At 39.4% G+C, this 24,016-nt stretch overlaps 1 protein-coding gene across 4 annotated transcripts in view; it reads right to left on the bottom strand.

Annotated features, from left to right (window-relative positions):
- NYAP2 (neuronal tyrosine-phosphorylated phosphoinositide-3-kinase adaptor 2) overlaps positions 1 to 24,016 on the bottom strand; it is a 305,716-nt gene that overhangs the window by 41,901 nt on the left and 239,799 nt on the right. For 3 of the 4 annotated variants that reach the window (XM_047445201.1, NM_001371273.1, XM_047445200.1), the window contains one exon: positions 10,219 to 10,322. In XM_047445201.1, the coding sequence (XP_047301157.1) occupies positions 10,219 to 10,322 (104 nt within the window). Of the gene's footprint in view, positions 1 to 7,735; positions 10,323 to 24,016 lie in introns of those variants that run through there. The other variant, NM_020864.2, reaches the window with a different exon arrangement.

The raw sequence follows: 24,016 nt of genomic DNA, 5'->3' as shown, positions 1-24,016 counted from the left end.
AGACTCCGCCTCAGAAAAAAAAAAAAAGAGAGAGCAAATTCAAAAAGGAAGTTATATATGAGGCAACTATGCATAAAGCAGGGGTTTGATAGATAGAACTACCTGGTTTTATATCTTACATCCATAAAGCCACTCACTGGTTATAAGACCTTCAATAGGTAACAGAAACTGTTTAGCCAAAAATTTTATCATCAGTGAAACGGGTATAATATTACCTACTTCAAAAGTGTGCTGTAAGAACAACATTAGATAATACAGCATTCTGAGCACTCTGGCAAACACATAAGAAGCTCTCAACAAAAGCTATTTTAGGAATCCAATTTATCTGGAGAAGTGTTTTCAACCTGAAGGATAATGTTCATTTGCAGCACAGAATGAAGAATGAAGATTTGTCCAGCAGGTGAGCTGGGTGCTAGTGCTAAAGATCTCTAGTGTTTCTTGAGTAAAAAACTCATGGCAAAGACATATTTATTATTCTGAATGAAGGGTACTGCCACTCTGAGCCAGTACTAACAGCATGTAAACATTTATTCCTAATGCACATGCAATTTAAGTTGGAGGTAAATTTACCCACAAGTTAGCAAGAATACTATTTTCCGGAAAGACTCTCAAGCTATCTGTTTCAAACATGTTAATGGAAAACAAAAGAAATCAAGAAGGAATTTTTCCATTTAACCAGTCATGCTTTTTTCTGTTCTTTTCCTTTTCAGTTGGCAAAAGAGGGATAATGATCTCCTTTCCTGGAAACTCAGGTTGAATTAAGGGATTTACAATGCACAGAAGATGTCATAAATCCTAATGAAAACAGCTGCACATATTCATAAATAATGCATAGCACTCTGAGATCAGTAGCTGTGATTCATTTTTCCCCTAAGTATTATTTTTAAAGGCATACTATTTAAAAGTTAGAGAACCTAAAATTGCAAGATTAAAGTAACGAAAAAAATTCAAAACAAAAATCATCAGCAGATTTTGTCATAGATTTCTACAGGCGTTTTGCTTATTATCCCAAACAACGCATACATCTTCTGTGTCATAAAACAGTTTTGTTTGATTCAATTTTTGAAAGCCAAGTATAGATTCCAAAGTGCGCTACAGACGCTAGGTGGCGCCATGTATCCACCTAGTGTTATGCTGTGTTTCCACAGGCTGAGTTGGCCCGCCCCATCTGAAGCCAGACATTCGTTTTAATAGTTAAATCGATACATTTTATAATGTGAATGGTTGCAGGCATTAAAAAAAATAGGCATTTAAAACTGGTATGTGGAATCTTTAAGTAAATGCTGAGGTTGGCAAAAAAAAAAAAAAAAAATGTATCCTGTGTCTCTAATACCTGCTGTCCCGACCCTAGCAGATAATAGCTTCCTATATAGACTTAATGTTTTCATTGTATTTTCTCCTACCTTAATTCAAAGAGGTGAGTAAGTAGTATTGGGGGCAGGAGAGCTGACAGTTCTGAAATGCTACCTGTAGCCAATTTCTACGTACTTTGCCTCCAACCCACATATGAGACCTACAAGGTAAGAAGAAATGCCAGACCTAAACTCCCTATTACATGGTAAATAACTTAGTAACTAATTTTGTAATTGTGAAAGAAGGAGTAATGAATATAATGGGCTCTAGGGGGGTACCAAGGACAAGGTGGGGGAAATCAATTTGCCCCAGGTGCAGGCAATAAGGAGATGCACTGTCTACAGAGAACTTAAAACCAGTGATAGAACCAACTAGAAATCTGTCTGCTTTTTCTTATCACCATGCACTAGCAGTTGTATACCAGCTTGGGGATAGTGGGGTGGACCAATCATTCCTTCAGTGACTACTGCCTTTGGAATAACACTGACTGAACTACTTTTCTCTTTAGAATTTTCCAGCAAGCAGAAAAATTGAATTTTTTGGAAAGAGGAAAAACTGTTAGGAAAAGGAGAAAGAATTAATATTTTTTTCCCACAAGTAATGTCTGTCCAGGACTTTACACACCTATGTTATCTCATTAATCCTCAACAACAACCCCAGACTCAGAAAGGTTCAGCAACATATTCCAGGTCTTACAGCCACTAACCAGTAGAGCCAGGATTCTAATAAATCTTTACTTCCTGTAAGTCTCATATCTATCTCAGGTTTTTGTCTATCTCAGGTTTTTGACTGGTTAATATCAGGTTCTGAGTGGTAAATCTCAGGTTTTTGAGTGGTTAATGTCATAGCCTTTGACATTTAATAAATACAAAACTTTGGATAAGCTATGTAACCTTACTCACTTTGGTATCCTTGGTTGTGATGTGGGATAATAATAGTACCCATCAGTGAGGACTGTAGGGAACACACCTACAATGATGCAGGCATGCTCCGAGCCCAGTCCTGGCACATGGTAAGCACATGAGAGGTGACAAAAATGGCACATCATGTTCATTATGCAAACTTCACCTAAGAACCCTGAATAACTTTTTGTCCCTTCCAGATGGTAAAGAAAGCTGGAGTACGTACTTCTGCTACTTCACACCTGTAGCTCTGGTGGTGAAGTTGATAACTCTGACCTCGGATGCTGAAGAGAGGGACACACACAGGTACCAGCGACAGCAGAGTTAGATAACAGGCATCCTCAGAGTCCACTGGGCCCAATCCCCACCCTTATTTGTCAATTGGTTCAAGACTTCTTTGAGAACATCTTCTTGCTTATTATACCCTCCTTGCTCTGACAGAATAAATGACAAGGTTGTTGGCGGCAGGCATGAGCTTGTTTTGTTTTATTCCACTCTATAATGGAGTTACTGAGAGACTGATCATGGAACTTCTGGACTTGAAAAAGTGACCCACAAATATTCTGCTGCCTAAAGTATGTAAAAGTTAATAAGCACGCAATGGCTAAATAATATGTAAATTACTTAGCCCATACTTCAGCTAAGTTGTAAAGAGTTATGACCCTCTGAATTCTTTGTATTAAAGTAGAAAGGAAATAATTCCAACATTTCATTTTACATATTCCTTGATTCAGCTACTATTTAAAAGTAATAATAAATTTTATTTTCCACCTTAGATATGACATTAATTAAAGCTCATAGAGAGTGCCATAAAGAACTAAAGCCTAACATTTTTATAAAACAATTTGACAGGACCATATAAAGCACACATAAGATAATGCTTTTTATATATTTTTTGCACTTGCATTGTTTTAATGCAACTAGGCTATAGTACTTGGTAATAGATCCACTTAGCCACTGACATTCTTATTTGTAACATGAATTTATTCCACATTTCACAGGGCTAGATCCAAATTCTTTGGTAAATATCATTTTTATAACAAATAAGCATAATTTCTTTGTAGCATAATTTCTTTTTAACATAATCTTTGTTAACATAGCACTTTATTTTACAATTTGAAGTTAGTACAGAGAAACACTTCTCAAACATAATGCTGATGTTGTACTGTGAACTTAGGGGGGTGTTCCAAGACCTCCTCTTAGGGTTTTTCATGTTTGGAAATATATGTAAGGTTGACATGTATGCAGAAGGAAGTAAATAATAAGAGCCAATTTTAATATGTGTTGCACAGCCTGAAAGAAGCTGTGTGGTGGTGAGAAGCTGTGTGTTAATGAGTTCAGATTTTGTTGGTTCTGTTCTGTGTGTTGTTTCTGCTTTTCTTCCATTTCCATCATGTGGTGTAATCATGAGCATACAATAAAATCAGCTGTGTAAAGGTACAAATGGCATGGAAAACATGTTCTCAGTTCAGGTCTGATAGGAGAATCTGGAATATCACAGAATCTCAAAAAAGAAAAAAAGAAAACACTTTTGTTCAACACTTGAGCAGCACATTATAGAGAAGGGGCCGTTGGTCACACAGAGTGAGGGTGGCACATGCTCTCCAACTACATATTCTGTGGCTATCTCATTCCCAGCACTGCTTTCTCCTGTGGACTGTAAAACCTTAGTCTCAAAGTAGGAAACACTTGACAATGTATCCAACTGATCAGGTAAAATGTCCCTGGTCTATAGGACAAGGGGCTAAACTAAAGTGTGCATGACTTTGGCAAAACAAGTCATCTCTATGCTCATAGTGGCCTGAGAATTGTAAAGAGAAAATATTTTTGAAGTTTTTCTACTCTTACATTTTACGGTGTTTTGGTTTTTGTTTTTACTTTCCTTTTCCTTTTTTTTTTTTTTTTTTAGAGCAGTTTTAGGTTCACAGCAAAATTGAAAGAGATTTCCCATATTGCCCTTAGGACTTGTTTTTGTTTTTCTGCTTGATTCTATTGAAGGCACAAATTAAATGAGGATGGAGCTTTGCAGCCTTTAAGGTCAGGTTATTCAGAGTTGGGGTGGGCACCCAGGAGATGAAATTAGATTTCCTGCTGGGCGCAGTGGCTCACGCCTATAATCCCAGCACTTTGGGAGGCTGAGGCAGGTGGATCACGAGGTCAGAAGTTTGAGACCAGCCTGGCCAACATGGTGAAACCCCGTCTCTACTAAAAATACAAAAAATTTAGCCTGGTGTGGTGGCAGACGCCTGTAATCTCTGCTACACAGGAGTCTGAGGCAGGAGAATCAGTTGAACTTGGAGGTGGAGGTTGCAATAAGCTGAGATCGCATCATTGCACGCCAGCCTAGGCAACAAGAGTGAAGCTCTGTCTCAAAAAAAAAAAAAAAAAAAAAAAAAGGAATTAGATTTCTCATTTCACACTCTAGGCCTTACTCTCCTGGCTCCCTTTGTTGTTAGCCTTTCTCACACTCTCCAGGCTCCCAGGCATGTTTTATGTGCAAATGTACTATCTAGAAAGTTCAATGAAAGCTCAGAACTCACAGACCCTGCTTTGGAAATATTAAGGACTGAAGAACAGGAACAAAATCAAATTGTTTGAGAAAAGATTTTTTGAAGCGCATATACAGAAAGATGTTTATAGAGAGAGGTGTTGAGTAAGTCAACAAATGATGACTGAGGGCCTCACTTTGCGCTGGGCATTGGAGGAAGACCTCTGAACTGAGCACAGTCCCTGCAAAGAAATTCACCTAAGTCCTTCACCCTGGTCTTCACATGTACTGACCCCACATCCCTATTTTGGGTTGTCTATCTTCTTTTTTTAAGTCTGTAGAAAACAATTCTGGCATCTGAGCATGTTCAGAAATACACTCTAGATATGCATCAAGCTATGGACCCCCTAACATGTTCCCTTATCCAGGATTGCCAGCCGGTGCTGACATAATGACATAGCTGTGGAGCCCATGGAAAGAGAGAACCTGCATCTGCTCCAGAGGCAGCCTGGGAAGACTCTCATTCTCCTGCAAGGTCGTCAAGCAAAGGGGAAGTTAGGAGCTTGGTGAGAGGCCAGGGGGCTGCTATGAAAAGGAATAAGCATTTGCTAAGTAATCCCGAAGAGACAAGTTGAAAGGAACGGGGCTTAGTAGCCTGGATAACAGCTATTAAGTATACAGAAGGGACTGGGCTGGGCAAGTTTTGTCCTGGGTGGTGAGGACGCAGGTATCATGAAACACAGGACCCACAGAGATCATGGCTTCAGAGGCAAAGCACTATGTGGTTTCTAAGCACTCTGTGTAGGTTTCTAAAGAGATTTGGTCTGTCAAACTTTGGAATGTGTGTCCAAAGGAAATTACAAGTGACCTTTTCCTACCTCCCTCCCCCAAATCAAGGATGATCAGAGATAATTCAGTTTAGTGTGATAAACAAGCCTCCGAAGAAGTTGAGGTTTCAGTTCAACACTTGGGTCACTCTTAGCTTTGTAATTCCTTGACATGAGAATCTGCTGTAAAAAAAATATGTGTTTGTGAGTGAATGTGTGAGATTGTGTTGGTGTGTGTGTGTGTGTATGTGTGTATGTGTGTGTGTGTGTGTGTGTGTGTGTGTGTGTGTGTGTGTGTAGTGGAGGTTGTGGCTCTCATTTCCTTCCTTCCTAGAAAAACAAATTCAAACATGTCTTGGGAACATTTTTCCAAGGAAAGCTGCAGTTCTGTTTGGAGACACATCTTAGCCGCTCCATTCTTGCAGGAAAGCATGGTTTGATATGGCCTGTGCATCAGCTGCTATAGCATCACCTGTGCAGCAAGAGTATAGATGGCACTGTTTCCAATGGGGTCACTGAAGAAGGAGGCTGAGATCAGCCAGAGATGGAGGAATCACATGAGCATCACCATCTGCTGTGTCTAAGAGCATTCACATCTCTTTCTTCTGAGTACATGGCTTTCTACTCTATTACAGAGAATACAAAAGAGAAAGTAACGTGCTCCAAGTATAATACATGACTCCTGTGCAGTTTGACTTTTTTTAACTAAGAAAATAAGTTAACTTTCTAATGGTAGGCACAAAAATTCAGTCTGATTTCCAAAGATTTCTATGAAGGTAAATGCAGAAACGTGGCTGCATTACAAGGAAGTTCCAAGAAAATGTCTATAATTGCCCCATGTCTAGTCTATTTACTCAGGAGCAAATTAAGAAAAAATAAAATCTTATTTTTAACTCTCTGAGTGTCAGAGAATAATATGTGTTTTGGGGCAAACTCTAAATGCTTTAGAACTCATACTTTTTTCCAGAGTTTCTCATTTTCTCTTACATATTTTGAAGTTCCAGTCAAATACAATTATACATTTCTACAGATCGTGTGTCTGCTGTAGTTACCTGAAGCTAAAACTGATTTCAAAGGCAAGCAAACATACCTTCCCCTTTGTTCATATACCACCTCTGGTGGTGGGCTGTCACTATTGGCCCCAGGCCCATGGGGAATGGGGACCAGTCACTTTGGTCACCTCTGTGAATCTCTGCCTTAGTGATGTCAAGCACTTTCACCTAACTCCACCTACAACATTTCTTAGACAGCTCCAACCATGACACGAAACGGTGAGTGACAAACTAGGACCAAGAAAACTGAACAGAGATGGGATGACAACAACAATCTGAGAAGTAACACAGGTCTTTTTGTACGAAGGGTAATGCCCCATAATGTGGCTGAAATGTCATAGCATTCGTAAGGCCAGATTCCTCCATAGACAAGCACCACTGGAATTATTTAGAGGTGAGTGACTGATTTTGTTTGTTTTATTTATTTTTTGTTTTATTTTATTTTTTTGAGATGGAGTCTAACTCTGTTGCCCAGGGTGGAATGCAGTGGCACAATCTCAGCTCACTGCAACCTCTGCCTCCTGGGTTTAAGCGATCCTCCTGCCTCAGCCTCCCAAGTAGCTGGGATTACAGGTGTGTGCCACCACGTCCAGCTAATTTTTTGTATTTTTAGTACAGATGGGGTTTCACCATGTTGGCCAGGCTGGTCTCAAACTCCTAAAGTCAGGTGATCCACCTGCCTCGGCCTCCCAAAATGTGGGGATTACAGGTGTGAGCCACCGCACCTGGCCTTTTATTTGTTTTAAATAGATCACATGAATTCCAATGATTTTCCTAGTAAGAAGTCTATTAATCTCCTATTAAGAATTCTGGGTTTTAATAACTACCAGGAGTCTTGGTGTTGCGAAAACTGCTTAAAAAGTGACCAGAGGGATTGTTTGTTTGATAGTGCTAGGTGTTCCCTATCCTTGTTTAGGTATGAGTAGTCATTGTTAGATTCAACAGTTTTACATGTTTTTCCACCATTGTCTTGCATGCCTGAGCACAGGGCAGTGCCGTCCTAGTTGTAATTTAAACAGACATCTTAGTCAAGACTATGGTTGAGGGCATGGGAAGTAGGTGAGAAAAGGACTTTTAATAAGTTTTTTTTTCTTTTTCTTTTTTTTTTTTTTTGAGATGGAGTCTCGCTCTGTCACCCAGGCTGGAGTGCAGTGGTGCGATCTCAGCTCACTGCAAGCTCCACCTCCCAGGTTCACCACATTCTCCTGCCTCAGCCTCCCAAGTAGCTGGGACTACAGGCGCCCGCCACCACACCTGGCTAATTTTTTGTATTTTTAGTAGAGATGGGGTCTCACCGTGTTAGCCAGGATGGTCTCAATCTCCTGACCTTGTGATCCACCCACCTCTGCCTCCCAGAGTGCTGGGATTACAGGCGTGAGCCACCACGCCCAGCCAATAAGTATTTCTTGACTTAAGTTGAATGCTAAGTCAGAGGAGTTCAGAGCAGTGTTCATATGAGCTATGCTTACCACTTCATCTCTAGAGTATAGGAATGCATGTATATTACAACTGGCTATAAGCCACAGAGGAGAAGCCTAGAGGCCAGCCTTCTAATTTATAGCTCTGACAGCCCATGTATGATTTGACTGTGTGTCAGAATCTCTATCAGCAGGTAAGGAAACTAACAGCATATAAAGGCGTCCTGGGCTTTCTCCCTTGCTACATTTTGAAAAACGAAGAACTTCCCATCAGGTGAACAAAGAGTTGATAATGCAAAGGCACAAAGGGTATACCTTGTCTCTATTCTGGAAGTTTATCCCAAGAACCTGCTTTCATTGAGAGTTTGAAGGGGCTTAGGGTGAAACAGCTATAAAGACAACTAGGAAAAAAGCAAAACAAAACAAATAATACAAAACATCTCTGAGATATTGAAGGTAATATACTAGCAAGGGTCATAAACTTGAAAACTTGATTGTATTAGTGCAATCCTCTGCCAATTAGCTAAACTTCTCTTCTTTCAGTACCCAATGTTTTTAAGCTTTAAATGTTGGTAAGTACAATATTTTTGGAATAGCTTTAATTAGCTAAGTTGGCAGTTTATCTTATTTATTTTATTCAGTGTCTTACTGTTTCTACTTCTTTTATATCCAAAAAGTGTTTGAGTTGGTACATTTAGTTATAAAGGCATTTAACATTTATATAAAGGCATTTAAATTTTAAATTAAGACACAAGAAATTCTAAATGGTACTTGAGATACCCTTGAGAGAAGCCTCTCATTTCTTGTATTTGCAGATACCTCATATATTTATAAATCAACTATTTTGCATATTTAAGTCAGACAAAAACACTAAGAGGCACAATGTCTCTCATTAGAAGAAAACGCAATTATTCTACTTAGTTATGTTTTTAAAATAGCCTGACATTTAAAATAATAGATGAATATGTAATTTTCTCATCAGTAATGGGCAGTTCCCTTGGAGGTATCATCAGTGTTTTATAAGTTGCTATTTCAGAAGAGTTTCATGAATGCAAAGATTGAAGCTAGGAAGCAGAGAGAAAACATTCCAGAATGACACCACCCTACTTAACACCTATAATACTTAACAGTAACGACAATTAAGCCTCACAAATTAAGTCAATGTATTGAATTCCTATTGGGTGAGCTAAAGATAGGACATTTATGTGTAGTGATTTTTCCCCATACTAATTCCCCATCCACAACCACGTACCCAAACGAACATCAGAGCAACATATTATGCTGTAAAGGATTAAATGATATTTCAGTTTATGCCTTTATTTCTTGTCTCTTTTCTCCAAGTGATAATTGAGATCTCATTTACCATGCATGAACACTTACATTCCCTTTCTGAGAACATTTCTGATATTGTTGGTATAAGAGAGAAAAGTCATTCATTTAAAGGTTGCCTTATTAATCTGCAGTTTTTGTTAAATATCTAGATTATCTGGCCAGTCAATTTGTCTGGCCAGTCAAATTGTCTTAGGCCAGTCAATAGCCTAAGAAAGAAGAAAGACTAGCTGCCATACTCAATCCAAATGAATCGGGATATGAATATTTATAAGGACATCAATATTCAACAGTGTCTTACAGTCATGCTCCAAGCTAAATAAAAATAAAACCACCAGAAATATTACAGTATAATAGGATAAGAGCTAAGAAATATGTACAAATTCATTGACAACATCTGTGCGAGTGTTCTGGACAAAACATTTAAAAAGAAATCTACATAAAACAAAGTAGATAAATTTATCAAATATTGATAAATTTTCAGAGACAGTATAAAAGTACACAAAACATGAAAGAGAGAAAGAATTTAAAAAAGAACCACTAAGCCAATACATATAGTACAAGTTTACTACATTTATATTACAGAATGATGGAAACCAGAGACAAAAACGATTTGGTAACAAACAGCAAAGAAAGTTTCACCACCAATCACAAGGAAGAAAGATATTCTTTTTCAAATGAAAACACAGACTGCCAGAACTCATCCCCCGCATCCCCTAACCCATACACACATAGAAAAATAAAAGCAAATGCGAAAGTTGTCTACAGCAACAGGACAGACAGAGGTGGGAAGCATTTGGCAAGTTGTATCACAGGAAGTCAATCACGATTGGCTAACGATGATGGTACCTGGCTCTGTTGCAGGTCACTGCTTTGCCTGAGGGGAGTGACTGATGGAGGAGGCACACCTGACGTCGACGCAGACCGGCCTAATTTGCAGCTTACTTTAGGCTCTGGAAACAAGCGGAAAAAGACACAATATTAGCTGACTGACATCTGGAATAATGAAGTGGCTTTTCAGTCTTTCTGTTTGTTTCGCTACTTATTCTTGGAATATACAAAATGCTCCTGATGTTTGCTAATAAGTAGCAGGTGATAAAACACTTTCATGGCAGTTGACTCTAAAAGGAGCTTTATACCCAGATTGGCTTCTGGGGAACAACTCTCAGAAGCACAGGCCTTGTGCCTTTGCACATTTTACCTCACTTAGGGTTGGTTTCTATGGAGTCATCCCTGGAGCAACAACAACCCATTAGGAGAACAAGCAAGTACCATGACTATTTTGAATGTTTCACTTTTAGCTTTGATCCGTAGGATTTCTGTGTCCTAAAATGTCTTCTATCCCTTCTCCAAATGTTCTGTTTTCCTTCCTTCCATGAATACTATCATCATGTTTTCAATGTAACATTTCTTCAACTCATCTTGATTTTCATTAAATTTTATAACTGTCTTCCAAGACTTTTACTATCTTTCATAATATTATTTTTCCAACTTAAAAAGCTTTCTCCTACCTCTTCTCTAATTTGAGGAGCCCAAATTAGCTGCCTAGGCCACTGACAGGATGCTTTAGAGATTACAGTTTGAGGACTGAAAGAGTTCCCTTCATCCAGAAAGTACAGGATATTTGGGAGGTAGAGATGATTAATTTAAAGACATATTTGAAGATATTTGACAAAGGAAAAACAAGTCATAGAAAGAAAAATGGACATTTATACTTTATCACAAACTTCAGTGTAAGCTGTTGGTTTTTGAGTGCCTAGTACATTCCAGCTTCTGTGAGGAGTTACACCTAAATTATCTCTAATCCTAAGAACTCTCTTTGGAGCTACGGAGTTAGCTATCAATATCCTCAACTTACAAATTAGAAACCTAAGGTTCTCCACATCCAGTCTTTGCCTAATAAATAAACAAGTGCTTTTCAAAAAGCCTTTCTTTATAAACTTGACCTAAAAATTAAACTCATCGAACAACTGGCTTTAAATAATATGACATAACTACGGTACTGAGAACTGACACGCGTGCCAGAGAGCCAGAATGTGCCCAATTCCGTTGGAAGAAAAGAAAATGTGTTGCTCACGCTGGGGAGGTGCACTATCCTCATGCCATTTCTATATGAATCGCACTTCAGAGAAAAGCATTGACTATATCTGCATTGCATGAATGGTTCACTGCCAACTTCAGTTTCCATCAATTGCCTTCCACTCCTCCACTCCCAACCCCTCTCAGACACAACATGCAGACACACAGAATGAGTAAGCTTACGCCTACTTACACACAGACTCATACACTCTCACCCATATGCACCTTTCCTCTCTCAGTCCTGTTTCCACCTATTCAACAATGCTTCACCTCTCTATTAATATTATTCTCCTAAGGGAACTAATAGTTTTCTTTCTTGGCAAATAAAATAGTGTTTTCTCTGTACTTCTGATTTAGAGGAAAACAATAAAAGACAATAAACAAGGTTTGGACTTAGAGCTAATTTTGAATCTGACTCTGCTAGGTGTATGATCTTAAACAATTGTTTTCATTATTCAAGTTTTAGTTCTTCTCAAATAAAATGAATTTAGTCACTTATTCAACATTCGGCATCTATGTATTTTATGCCTACTATGTGCCAGGAACTTGCCAGAGAGTTGTGACCAAAATCCCAATATTGCCCTAAGGGACTGCACAGTCTATGCACTAAACATAGACATTAAACAACAAATGATGGGCCAGGCACAATGGCTTATGTCTATAATCTCAGCACTTTGTGGGGCTGATGCGGGTGGATCACTTGAGCCCAGGAGTTGGAGACTCCATATTCTAATGACGTTTATGTATTCTCAGGGGAGAGACATTAAACCTAAAATCATTTGCCAAAAATTAGGAAATATGTTAGAAGGAAGACGTAGAGGGTGCTGTGATATCATTTATCAGAGTATCCACTGTGTTCTGGGGAGCAGGGCAAGGAGAGACCCTGAAGAAGCTGCAGTAATTAACACCTGCCAAAAGGACTGAATGGGCAGCAAAATCTGAAGTGGGAAGTATCCTGGATCCACAGACTTTACTTTCCAACCGATCCAGAAGTCAAAAGCATTTCAGAATGTATTGCTTGCCTATTATAAGGAAATAGTAATAGTGAAATATCCTGGTTTCCAGGTTAGTGGAGAAGAGTTGAGCTAGTGCTAAGTAAACAGATAAACTGAATTACATGCAAAATTCATAGAAAAACACCAGACACATAACAAGTGCTTTTAGTGAATGCTAGCTCTCACCCCCTACACACATACACACACATACACACGCACTTGCACAAGTACGTGCATAGTGACCCTTACCTCTATTCCTCCTGCTACTTTTAATGAAACCAACTACATTCTCTTTCTGGAAAATGACTCTCTTTCCACCTGTGATATGCATTCCTTCACCTCTCTCTCAACCCAATGTCCTTTTAGCTTCATCAACTTGTTTCTTGCTTGGCCTTTTCCCTCTGCACCTTCTCTCTTAAGAACATCAGCAGTCGCATGGTTTCAAAGATAATGTTTTCCCTTGGAGTCAAATGCAGGTTCCCATAGCTCTGTCCCCTTCCCATGCTCCTTTTTGATTTTGAGCCCCTGTGCTTCCTGGTCCCTAGGCTGTCTACATTGCTTCAGGATGCAAACCAAGTTCCAGCTTCTTCTCAATATCTTGGATCTTCCTTCTACTTTTCCTATGTATAGTAGAAACATCACCTCCATTTTCCTAAAGTCTTAGGGTCCAAATCTTGTACTTTTTCAGTTTAGAGCTTTCTTTTCCTCTCTCTATAAATTTAGTCCTGTTGGAATTTGCTTTTTTTCCCCCTTGCAATGGCTCTTATAGTTATCTCAACTCATCTCAGAAACCTCCCCATAATCTCTCTGCTCACATCTAACTTAGACACAATGCAGACTGTGTTTCCTAGATACTTTAGGCCACTCATCTTGTTCAAAAATGTTCAATTATTCCATATTTATTATCATGAAAAACGTCTATTTTCCAGAGGTCCTCTGTGACCTGGCTCCATCTGATCGGATCCACTCTATTTTCCACTGCTTCTTGCTTTCTAAAATATATACTATTTGGGCCGGGTGCAGTGGCTCACACCTGTAACCCAGCACTTTGGGAGGCCAAGGCAGACAGATCACCTGAGGTCAGGAGTTCGAGACTAGCCTGGCCAACATGGTGAAACCCTATCTCTACTAAAAATACAAAAATTTGCTGGGCGTGGTGGCGGATGCCTGTAATCCCAGCTACTCATGAGGCCGAGGCAAGAGAATCACTTGAACCTGGGAGGCAGAGGTTGCACTGAGCCAAGACCATGCCATTGCACTCCAGCCTGGGCAACAAGAGCAAAACTCCATCTCAAAAAATAAATAAATAAATTATATACATACATATGCACACACACATATGTATGCACACACATATATATATAATTTGATCTACCCTCTTGGTATCGACTTTTGATTCTTTCACCTTTCACCTCAAGTTGTTGCCAAGCATGGACTTTAATCAAACCATATCTCACCATTTTCTAAGACCTAGTTCAAAGTGTAGTTTTATTGAAAAGCATCCTGTGATCTTGTTTTCTTCTTTCTCTCTTCTGAACTGCCTTATCACTTAGATAGCATTTGCACTGCTTGTTGTGGTTTTCAGCATTTTTGCCGGTAGGAACCACCTAATAAGCATTCAATTATTATGTATTTTTCTTTCACTGAAGATACTCAAATTAACCTAGAAAAGGTCACTGCAACTCCTCAAAGCAAGGAGGCAATGATGTAACAAAGAACCTGTTATAAGACCTAGTTTCAAGCCTCTCTCGCCTACTTACCATGGCAGTGATTCCAGTTAGAGGGGATGTGACCCTCTGGGGTCCTACAGAGAAGGCACGGCATTTGAAAATTCTCCCTTGATTTTGTGCGGGTGTTTAACGTCTGCCCACCCATTCTTGAAAATACCACTGGATTCTCTCTGAGGCTGTTTAAACACAAGTGTATCATATGATGACATAGATACAATATCCTAGTAACTTATAAATTAACCTCATTTCCCAGGATGCCTAAATCCTTGCATACCTTAAGGAATCATCCTTTATTATATAAAACAACAAGCAAAGCATCCATCAGAACCCTGGTTGACATGTTTCCATAATAAGCCAATGTTTCCATACATGCCATGACTAGCTTAGCACATTTGGTCACATGGAATGAGAAAATTCAGTATTTTTTTTTTCCTAGAAAAGGATGACAAATAATTATTTACTATAGAGATTTTTTCCAGTTTATGTTGAAGATATTATCATCTGATGAAAAAAGATTATCTAACCAGATCAAAGGCTTTTATATCACCTAAGGTACCTAAAGATTAATTTCCCCTTTTATTGGTTTCTGGTCAGACCAAACCTGTTTTCACTGTAGGCAACATTATTTCCAATGCACAGACTACACCTCACCAAAATCCAAGCAAACTCCAAATGTCACCGTGACCTGGAAACGTCTTGCTCTACCCCCATAGGATGCCAGTCCAGATCATGTCTAGGTTCATCAAGCCCCAGTAGGCACTGCAATATAAATCACTAACCACCCATTGAACATGGCAAATTAAACTACTAGCCAAGTACCCTGTGTGGGCTAGTTCTACAATGAGGTCACCCAGTGGTCTAATGTTCGATACCAGCATGGAATATGACTCCATATGCAGGGATAGAGTAAGATCATTACCATATATTCATAATGTACACATACATACACTGGCAGATACACACAGACACACACACATACAGTCCATAACACTGCTGCTTAATGGTATCACATGGCAGGAACTTTTTTTTGAGACCGAGTTCTGCTCTTGTTGCCCAGGCTGGAGTGCAATGGCGCAATCTTGGCTCACCGCAATCTCTGCCTCCCAGGTTCAAGTGATTCTCCTGCCTCAGCATCCTGAGTAGCTGGGATTACAGGCAGGCGTCACCACGCCTGGCTAATTTTGTATTTTTAGTAGAGATGGGTTTTCTCCATGTTGGTCAGACTGGTCTCAAACTCCCGACCTCACGTGATCTGCCCGCCTTGGCCTCCCAAAGTGCTAGGATTGCAGGCATGAGCCACCGTGCCCAGCCAGCAGGAATATTTTTTAAATGGTGAGATTTTTGTTTATCCCATTTATTTTGGCTCTTCTTTCAGTTTCACATCATTCCTAACCTAAATGCATTTGGAATTTCCTATGGTGTTTCTGAGACCAGGCTGATGAAACAAATCCTTACAAGGTTGCATCCACCAAGGTTTCTTTGACCAAAAGAATTATCTCAAGCAATCATGAAAATCCTAGAAAATATTCTAATTATAACCATGCCTTTCAGAGATCCTTTAGGCCTGTGACATCAAAGTGCAATTGTTCAGCTCAACTAACTTGACCAAAAGAATTATCTGAAGCAATCCTGAAAATTCTAGAAAAGATTCAAATCAAGCCTCTCACAGATCCTTTAGGATCTGTGCATCTAAATGCAATGTTTGGCTCACCTACCTTTGGAAATGCAATGCTCTTTGAGACTTGAACGGTGAGGCTGAGGAGTCATGACACTGGACAATAAGTTTTGATCCTGAATTTTAATAGAATAATTGCCAAGAATTTTGGGGTCCACCAACAAGGGGCACATACCTGGAAAGAGATCTAAGACAGAGCTTTCCTACCCCAAGGAAATCCTAATTGAGAGATTAATTATTAACTAGAAGGCACTTGTTCTTCCTAAGTCCAAGGAAATATTTCTTCCTTTGAAAACTCTTCTAGTATCATCCCAGAAGTAAAAGTTGACTCACTTGTGCAATTTAGTGAAGATCAAGTGTAAAGAGAATAAGAAAAAAATGAGAAAGAGGTTGATTCAGAAAGAGAGAGAGAGAAAGGCAGTGGAGGAGGGAAACAGAGAGGAAGGAAAAGGAAGAAAGAAGAAAAAAGAAAGGAAAGGAGGGAATGAAGGAGAGAAGGAGGGAGGAACACAGTCATTTTAACTCCTTTGAGTAAACAATTATCAAGACAATACAATGAGATGTTTCCAGGTCTGTAACTCACCATCATCAATTTTATTAAGTAGGTACCAGTAGGACTATGTAATTTATTAGTTAGCTTTTTTCTTCTTCTTTTTTTTTTTTTTTTCTGCCCAGGCTGGAGTGCAGTGACGTGATCTCAGCTCACTGCAACCTCCACCTTCCGGGTTCAAGTGATTCTTTTGCCTCAGCATTCAGAGTAGCTGAAACTATAGGTGCATGCCACCATGGACGGCTAACCTGTATTTTTAGCAGAGACAGGGTTTCACCATGTTGGCCAAGCTGGTCTCGAACCCCTGATCTCAGATGATCTGCCCACCTTGGCCTCCCAAACTGTTGGGATTACAGGCATGAGGAAGTGTGCCTGGACATTCTTTTTGTTCCTAATAAACTTTCATTGCTTTTTATGGAACCAAAAAAGAGCCTGCATCACCAAGTCAATCCTAAGCCAAAGAACAAAGCTGGAGGCATCACACTACCTGACTTCAAACTATACTACAAGGCTACAGTAACCAAAACAGCATGGTACTGGTACCAAAACAGAGATATAGATCAATGGAACAGAACAGAGCCCTCAGAAATAACGCCGCATATCTACAACTATCTGATCTTTGACAAACCTGAGAAAAACAAGCAATGGGGAAAGGATTCCCTATTTAATAAATGGTGCTGGGAAAACTGGCTAGCCATATGTAGAAAGCTGAAACTGGATCCCTTCCTTACACCTTATACAAAAATCAATTCAAGATGGATTAAAGACTTAAACGTTAGACCTAAAACCATAAAAATCCTAGAAGAAAACCTAGGCATTACCATTCAGGACATAGGCATGGGCAAGGACTTCATGTCTAAAACACCAAAAGCAATGGCAACAAAAGTCAAAATTGACAAATGGGATCTCATTAAACTAAAGAGCTTCTGCACAGCAAAAGAAACTACCATCAGAGTGAACAGGCAACCTACAAAATGGGAGAAAATTTTCGCAACCTACTCATCTGACAAAGGGCTAATATCCAGAATCTACAATGAACTCAAACAAATTTACAGGAAAAAAACAAACAACCCCATCAAAAAGTGGGTGAAGGACATGAACAGACACTTCTCAAAAGAAGGCATTTATGCAGCCAAAAAACACATGAAAAAATGCTCAGCATCACTGGCCATCAGAGAAATGCAAATCAAAACAATGAGATACCATCTCACACCAGTTAGAATGGCGATCATTAAAAAGTCAGGAAACAACAGGTGCTGGAGAGGATGTGGAGAAATAGGAACACTTTTACACTGTTGGTGGGACTGTAAACTAGTTCAACCATTGTGGAAGTCAGTGTGGCAATTCCTCAGGGATCTAGAACTAGAAATACCATTTGACCCAGCCATCCCATTACTGGGTATATACCCAAAGGACTATAAATCATGCTGCTATAAAGACACATGCACACGTATGTTTATTGTGGCACTATTCACAATAGCAAAGACTTGGAACCAACCCAAATGTCCAACAATGATAGACTGGATTAAGAAAATGTGGCACATATACACCATGGAATACTATGCAGCCATAAAAAATGATGAGTTCTTGTCCTTTGTAGGGACATGGATGAAAGTGGAAATCATCATTCTCAGTAAACTATCGCAAGAACAAAAAACCAAACACCGCATATTCTCACTCATAGGTGGGAATTGAACAATGAGAACACATGGACACAGGAAGGGGAACATCACACTCTGGGGACTGTTGTGGGGTGGGGGAGGGGGGAGGGATAGCATTGGGAGATATACCTAATGCTAGATGACAAGTTAGTGGGTGCAGCGCACCAGCATGGCATATGTATACGTATGTAACTAACCTGCACATTGTGCACATGTACCCTAAAACTTAAAGTATAATAATAATAAAATTAAAAAAAAAGATTATAAGGGAGCCGAAAAAAAGAAAAGGTAACTTTTTATACAATTAATTTGCCAGTTGTGTATTTTAAAACAATAAAACATAGGAAAATGCCATGTTTAAGCACAAGGAACATGGGAAATCCTTTCAAAATTTCAAGGGATTTGGGAACCACCAGTTAGGAAATGCTTTCCTGGAAAAATCTCTATGGCAAAATCCAAGAAACACTGTTTTCTGCCCATGAGACCTGAGGGAAGTTATACAAACTCTCGGGGGATTTTTTATCATCTATAACAAGAAGCAAATTCCAAGGTTCTACTCATTGATTCTTTGACGCTAGTAAATGAAATTTGTTAAAATAATTGAATGACCTCAAAGATACTCTTGATTAATCATGAGCTAGTTTATTAAGGTCATTTATTTTACTCCTGTTTTCTGGTCAGCATTTTTGTTTTTGTCTGTGTATTTGTTTTTTAGTAACAATGTTGATAGAATTATGCATAACTCAAGTTTGCTATTTGTTCAAATGTTCTAACACTGTTGATAAAAGTTTTGGTAGTAAATAGTTTTTAAACACCCATACAAATTTATTTAAAAATAAACATTTAGGAGAGGTAATGGTCATCTGTCATTTTTCTCTGTCTAAAATCAATTTCCTCTTTTTCTGGAATAGTAATTTGATTTTTCTTCAGAGAACAGTATCACCAGTTATCTTAGTTCTTATGGTTCTGTAGTAAGAGCTGACTTCAACTCTACCTCCAGAAGTGGCCACATGAATCAAGTCTGTCCAATCGATTATTCTATCCCTTTGGTCTCATTGACTGGTACAGGGATGGACATGTGACCAAAGTCAGTCAATGAGAGTGGCTTTCATACTTCTGCTGGAGCTTTTGGGAAAGAGCTATACCTTTTCACAAGGTTTGCTAAACTCCCATCACTTCCTAGCTGAACAACCAGGAGAAATTTGCTTGACCTCTCTACACTTGTTTGTTCACAGATAAAATGGGAGAAATAATGGTACCTAGTTCACAGGATTTCTGTAAGAATTAAATAAGATAATACATGTTAAGATTTTTCCATAGCAAAAACCATGTACTAAAATCTCAAGAAATGTTAGTGGTTTTTATTATTGGGGGTCAATCTGATTTTTTTTAGCTTCCCTGCTTATAATAAATTACATACCACTTCCACACAATGGTACACACAGCTCAGCTTATACGACCAGCTTCATCAGTAGCCTTGCCCCCAGCACACTGCCCCGGTTTATCCTAAGCTCCCTGCCTTCTTTTACTGTAGGATTTTAATCACACTACTTCACTCTGCCTGGTACACTTGGTCCTTCCTTCCCTTTCTTCCTCTACTAAGCTCCATGCTCTTTGAAAGCAGGAACCATGTCTGTCTCTTTTCTCAGTATAGTTCCCTGAGTAACATGATAACTGATCCTTGATAAGGACTCATTAAGCATTTATTGATTGAATTATTCTAAATAATATTTTAAAGTATAAGCCCACTCTAAAAGATGATTTTTATGTTTCACATGGATAAAAAGCCATGTTTCTCCATCTGTTCACCTTCCCCATGTTTCCAGAAAAAAAAAAAATCTAAATTACATTGACTAGTTTTCTTTTTTTATTTTTTGAGATGGAGTCTCACTCTGTAGCCCAGGCCAGAATCCAGTGGCACAATATTGGCTCACTGCAACCTCTGCCTCCCGGGTCCTGGTTCAAGCAATTCTCCTGCCTCAGCCTCCTGAGTAGCTGGGATTACAGGCACGTGCCACCACGCCCAGCTAGTTTTTGTATTTTTAGTAGAGATGGGGTTTTACCATGTTGGCCAGGCTGGTCTTGAACTCCTGACATCGTGATCCACCCACCTCGGCCTCCCAAAGTGCTGGGATAACGGACGTGAGCCACCGCACCTGGCCTACATTATCAAATTTTCAACTAAGTACTTTATAACCTTAAAAAAAAAAAATTGTGTGTGTGTTTGTGTGTGTGTGTGTGTGTGTGTGTGTGTGTGTGTGTGTGTGTGTGTTTGAGGGATTGCAGTTCCTGTGTTGGACAGTAGATGACAATAAACATATTATTTGATACGTATTCTGGGCCGATTACAAAACTTCCAGAACTAGTCTTTGTAAATGCCTAGCATAATTCAGACAGAGTCTTCTATTTTATAATGTCTTTTGTGGCTTTTCGCAGAAACAGAAAGGGCATTCTTCGTGAACACTGTTGGTGCAGCATCTCCACAGGGCCTTTCCAAAGGAATCTAACAGCTGTGGTCTAGGAGCAATGTCAGGGTGGACTCCTCTAGGAGAGGGCACAGGGTGGAACCACCGCCCTGCCGTGACAGACACCTGTCACTGATGCTACAGTCAAAACTGGAGTCAGCACACTGTCATTGTGGTTCTCAAGCAGAATTAATCTTGTATTGAGAGGCAAGGCAAGGAAAGGCACTTTCTGCATCATCCCAATGGTTTCTACCTAATTGTTTTCCCCAATAGAATCAGAATAGTTGGAATCCAGAATTTCTCTACTGAGAATGAAATTACTATCAAGTTGTATTTTTTTCTAGCAGTGTTCAGGGTATCTATATAGTATACGGTATCATACTGTATGCATGTGTTTAGCAGAAACCAAGTTAAAGGGGAAATATGTGTGTGTATGAATATAATGCATATATAAAATATGGTAACAGGTAATTAGCTGACTTTGCAGATCTAACAATATGAAACTTATGTTTAAAACCCGTAAGTAGCCTCATGGCTTTATATATGTACACACACATCAGTTAATATCACCAAATTCCTTGACTCTAGGCTGATCCCATAACTTTAGCTAACCACCTTCCTAGAAAAAAAAATGGGAATAAGAACACAAAGGGTTTGACGAAATTTCACAAAGCAGCAAAGACTAGGACTAGTTCCCTGTTTTACTGAATCAGAGGCACTAAGGCTCCCTTGCTGTATAAAACCAACTGAGATCACAGATATAAATAAGCTCCTTGAAGGCAGGGGTCATCCTTTTGTCACCTCATAGTGTTCTCACTGAGTGAGTAAATGACTGGACCAAAGAAAGACAAGCATACATAATGTTGCTGATTTTTGAAAAAAACAACAAAAACACATGTGTAACATGGCTGCTCAGGTGCTCAATAATTAATTTTTATAGATACCAACAATCAGTGAAAAACACCTCTCAATTAGGTATAGGAAAGGTGAAATCTCATGGGTTAGAGAGCGAAGATAACAGTTCTCCTTCGGATTTATAAGGCAGGTTATTTGGGGCAGCCTGTTCACGTTGATCTCCATAAATCTGTTTCTCTTGGTTTAGGATGGGTGATCATAAATTAGCTGACTCTGTATATGTGATCACATAAGCCCTGGGTTAAAAATCCATAAATGGCTTCCTGTCATTTTCAGGTAAGACCCGAGTCATGGATGTGGCTGGCTCACCCTCACCCTTGTCAGGTTCTTAGCTTCTTCTCTGCCCTCCTTTTAGCTCCTCAATTATGTGGGTCATGGCGTCACAGAGTTCTGGCATCTACTACGTCCTCTTCCTTGATTGCTCTTCCTCCTAACTCACCTTGAGAGCTCAGTCCCCAGGTTATTAGGATGCGTTGAAACACACTCTAAAGGAAGCGCCCTGTCACTCTCCTTTCATCACCGATTGTAATTACAGTTTTAAAATTTTGTCATTTCTGTAATGGCTCTCTCCCTCACTGGCATGTACTCAATGGTTGGTAATTTTATATTGAATAAAATAGATGAATAAATGAAAGAATAAGCGAATGTGAATAAATGAATAAACCTGGGAGCACAGAGGTGGAAATAGAGAAACCCAGCCTAATTAAATCATGGGAAGAGAGCTGTAGTAGGAGTCAGAAACCCAAAGTTCATTTCTTTATTTGAATCTACTACTTATCAGTGAATCTGGGCAATTGACTTGATTTCTCTTGAGCCTCAGTTTTATCACCAAAAAAAAAGAAAAAAATGTCAGATAATGATACCAGCCCACTGATGCACAGGTTTTTGTGAAGTACAGATGAGACAGTACACATAAAGGCATTTTAAAAGCTCTGGTATAATAAAAATAAGACATTATTTTAAACAGGTCACAGATAACCCACAAAGGTAATAAACTTAAATTCCACAACTCAGGTTATATATAATCTGCAATAACCTTAGAGCAATTTTTAAAAATTATACCAGAGTCTGTTCTCTTTAAACTTGTCAATTTAACTGTTTGTTTGAACATACAGGATCTTATATGCATCAGAAAACTGTATTATTTTTTTCTCCCCAGAAGCCAGAGCTGTACCAACCTGTTCTGGGGGAGCAAAGGTCTTTCTTGTGCTTTAGAGAAACTCTCTACTGAGTCCCAAGACTTTTTTTTTTCACTTTGATGATTAAAAATCTTTCAGTTTCTTTTAGTTACAAAAAGTCTTACTGAAGTAATAACTTAAGTGCCCAGTTACTTACATTAATCAAAACTATGAATATTATCTCAAGGAAACACTTCTCCCTTGGCCCACTTTGGGCCAGCTCCTGGCAAACAGAAGAGATGGCCTCTGTCTTGGCCTCCTCTCCCTGTTCTTCCACCTCTGTTCCCAACTTGGTCCCCACAATGCCTGCTCTCATCTGGGCAGAAACAGGAGAGAGCAGGAGAGATGGGGAAAGGAAAGGTTCTTCAAGGGCCTGGCACGGGCTAGTGTCTCTCACCCTCTGGCTGGGAAAGGTGTTTGACACTGAAGCTCTGTCTTCTTGGGGTGCTTTCCAGTGTCCCTGAAGGCCTCCTCTGATTGGTTGGCCATCTCTCACCTGGAGACATCATGGTTGTTCGCTCTCTGTCTTTTGTGGGTAACTGGGTATCCTGTAGGGCACCTTGAAACACGTCCTGAGAGTCCTGGCTGCCCCAGGCACTCTCATGGTCTAGGCCACCTCCAGAGTTCCTCTCCAGGACCAAATCTGGTCCATAGAAAACACACTTTATACACATCTTTAACCCACCATCAGCAGCCGAACAGTTACTTGCTAAGCAACTTTCTCTGTGGTCACAGACCATTCACCCAGTCTCTTGTGCTTTTTCCTTCCACTCTATCCCTCAAACTGTTAGAAATAATATCAACTTTTCTGAATGGTTCCATTAAAGTCTCTCTCATTTGACTTTCCACTGCTGGAGACACTTCTCACCCCTCTTCTATTGGATGGACACTCATCTCTCTGTCTCTCTCTCTCTGTCTCTCTCTCTCTCACCCCCCTCCCACACCACACACACACACACACACACACACACACACACACAAACACACGAGTCTGTTTAAAATTCTCTCTAATATCTAGAGTCTATTTAAAATTCTCTCTAATATCTAGAGTCTATTTAAAATTCTCTCTAATATCTAGTCTCTGTCTCTCTCAGCCTCTAACCACTTTCCTAGGCTAGAAATGAGAGTTCAGTTAAGGACAACAATATTCATTTCGATCAACTCCTTTGCAAGCTCTGCTTCTGCAGTCAAGCTTTTCGCCTTGAAATGTGAGAGTCATTATCTTCTATTATTTTGTAATTAGCCTTTTGCATTTTGTACCCTGTTTATTTACATTCAAACTCTAGAAAGACATGCTTTGACCATTTAAAATGGTTAACTCCCTCCCAGTTCTCCTTTTCTGGTTGTTTCTCAAAGCCATACTACCAGTATCAGGAGAAATCCAAATAAAACTTTCTCT

Source organism: Homo sapiens, chromosome 2, assembly GCF_000001405.40.
Source record: "Homo sapiens chromosome 2, GRCh38.p14 Primary Assembly".
NCBI lineage: Eukaryota > Metazoa > Chordata > Mammalia > Primates > Hominidae > Homo > Homo sapiens.
The sequence above is the reverse complement of the archived record's forward strand: the minus strand, read 5'-3'. Positions and strand labels throughout refer to the sequence as shown.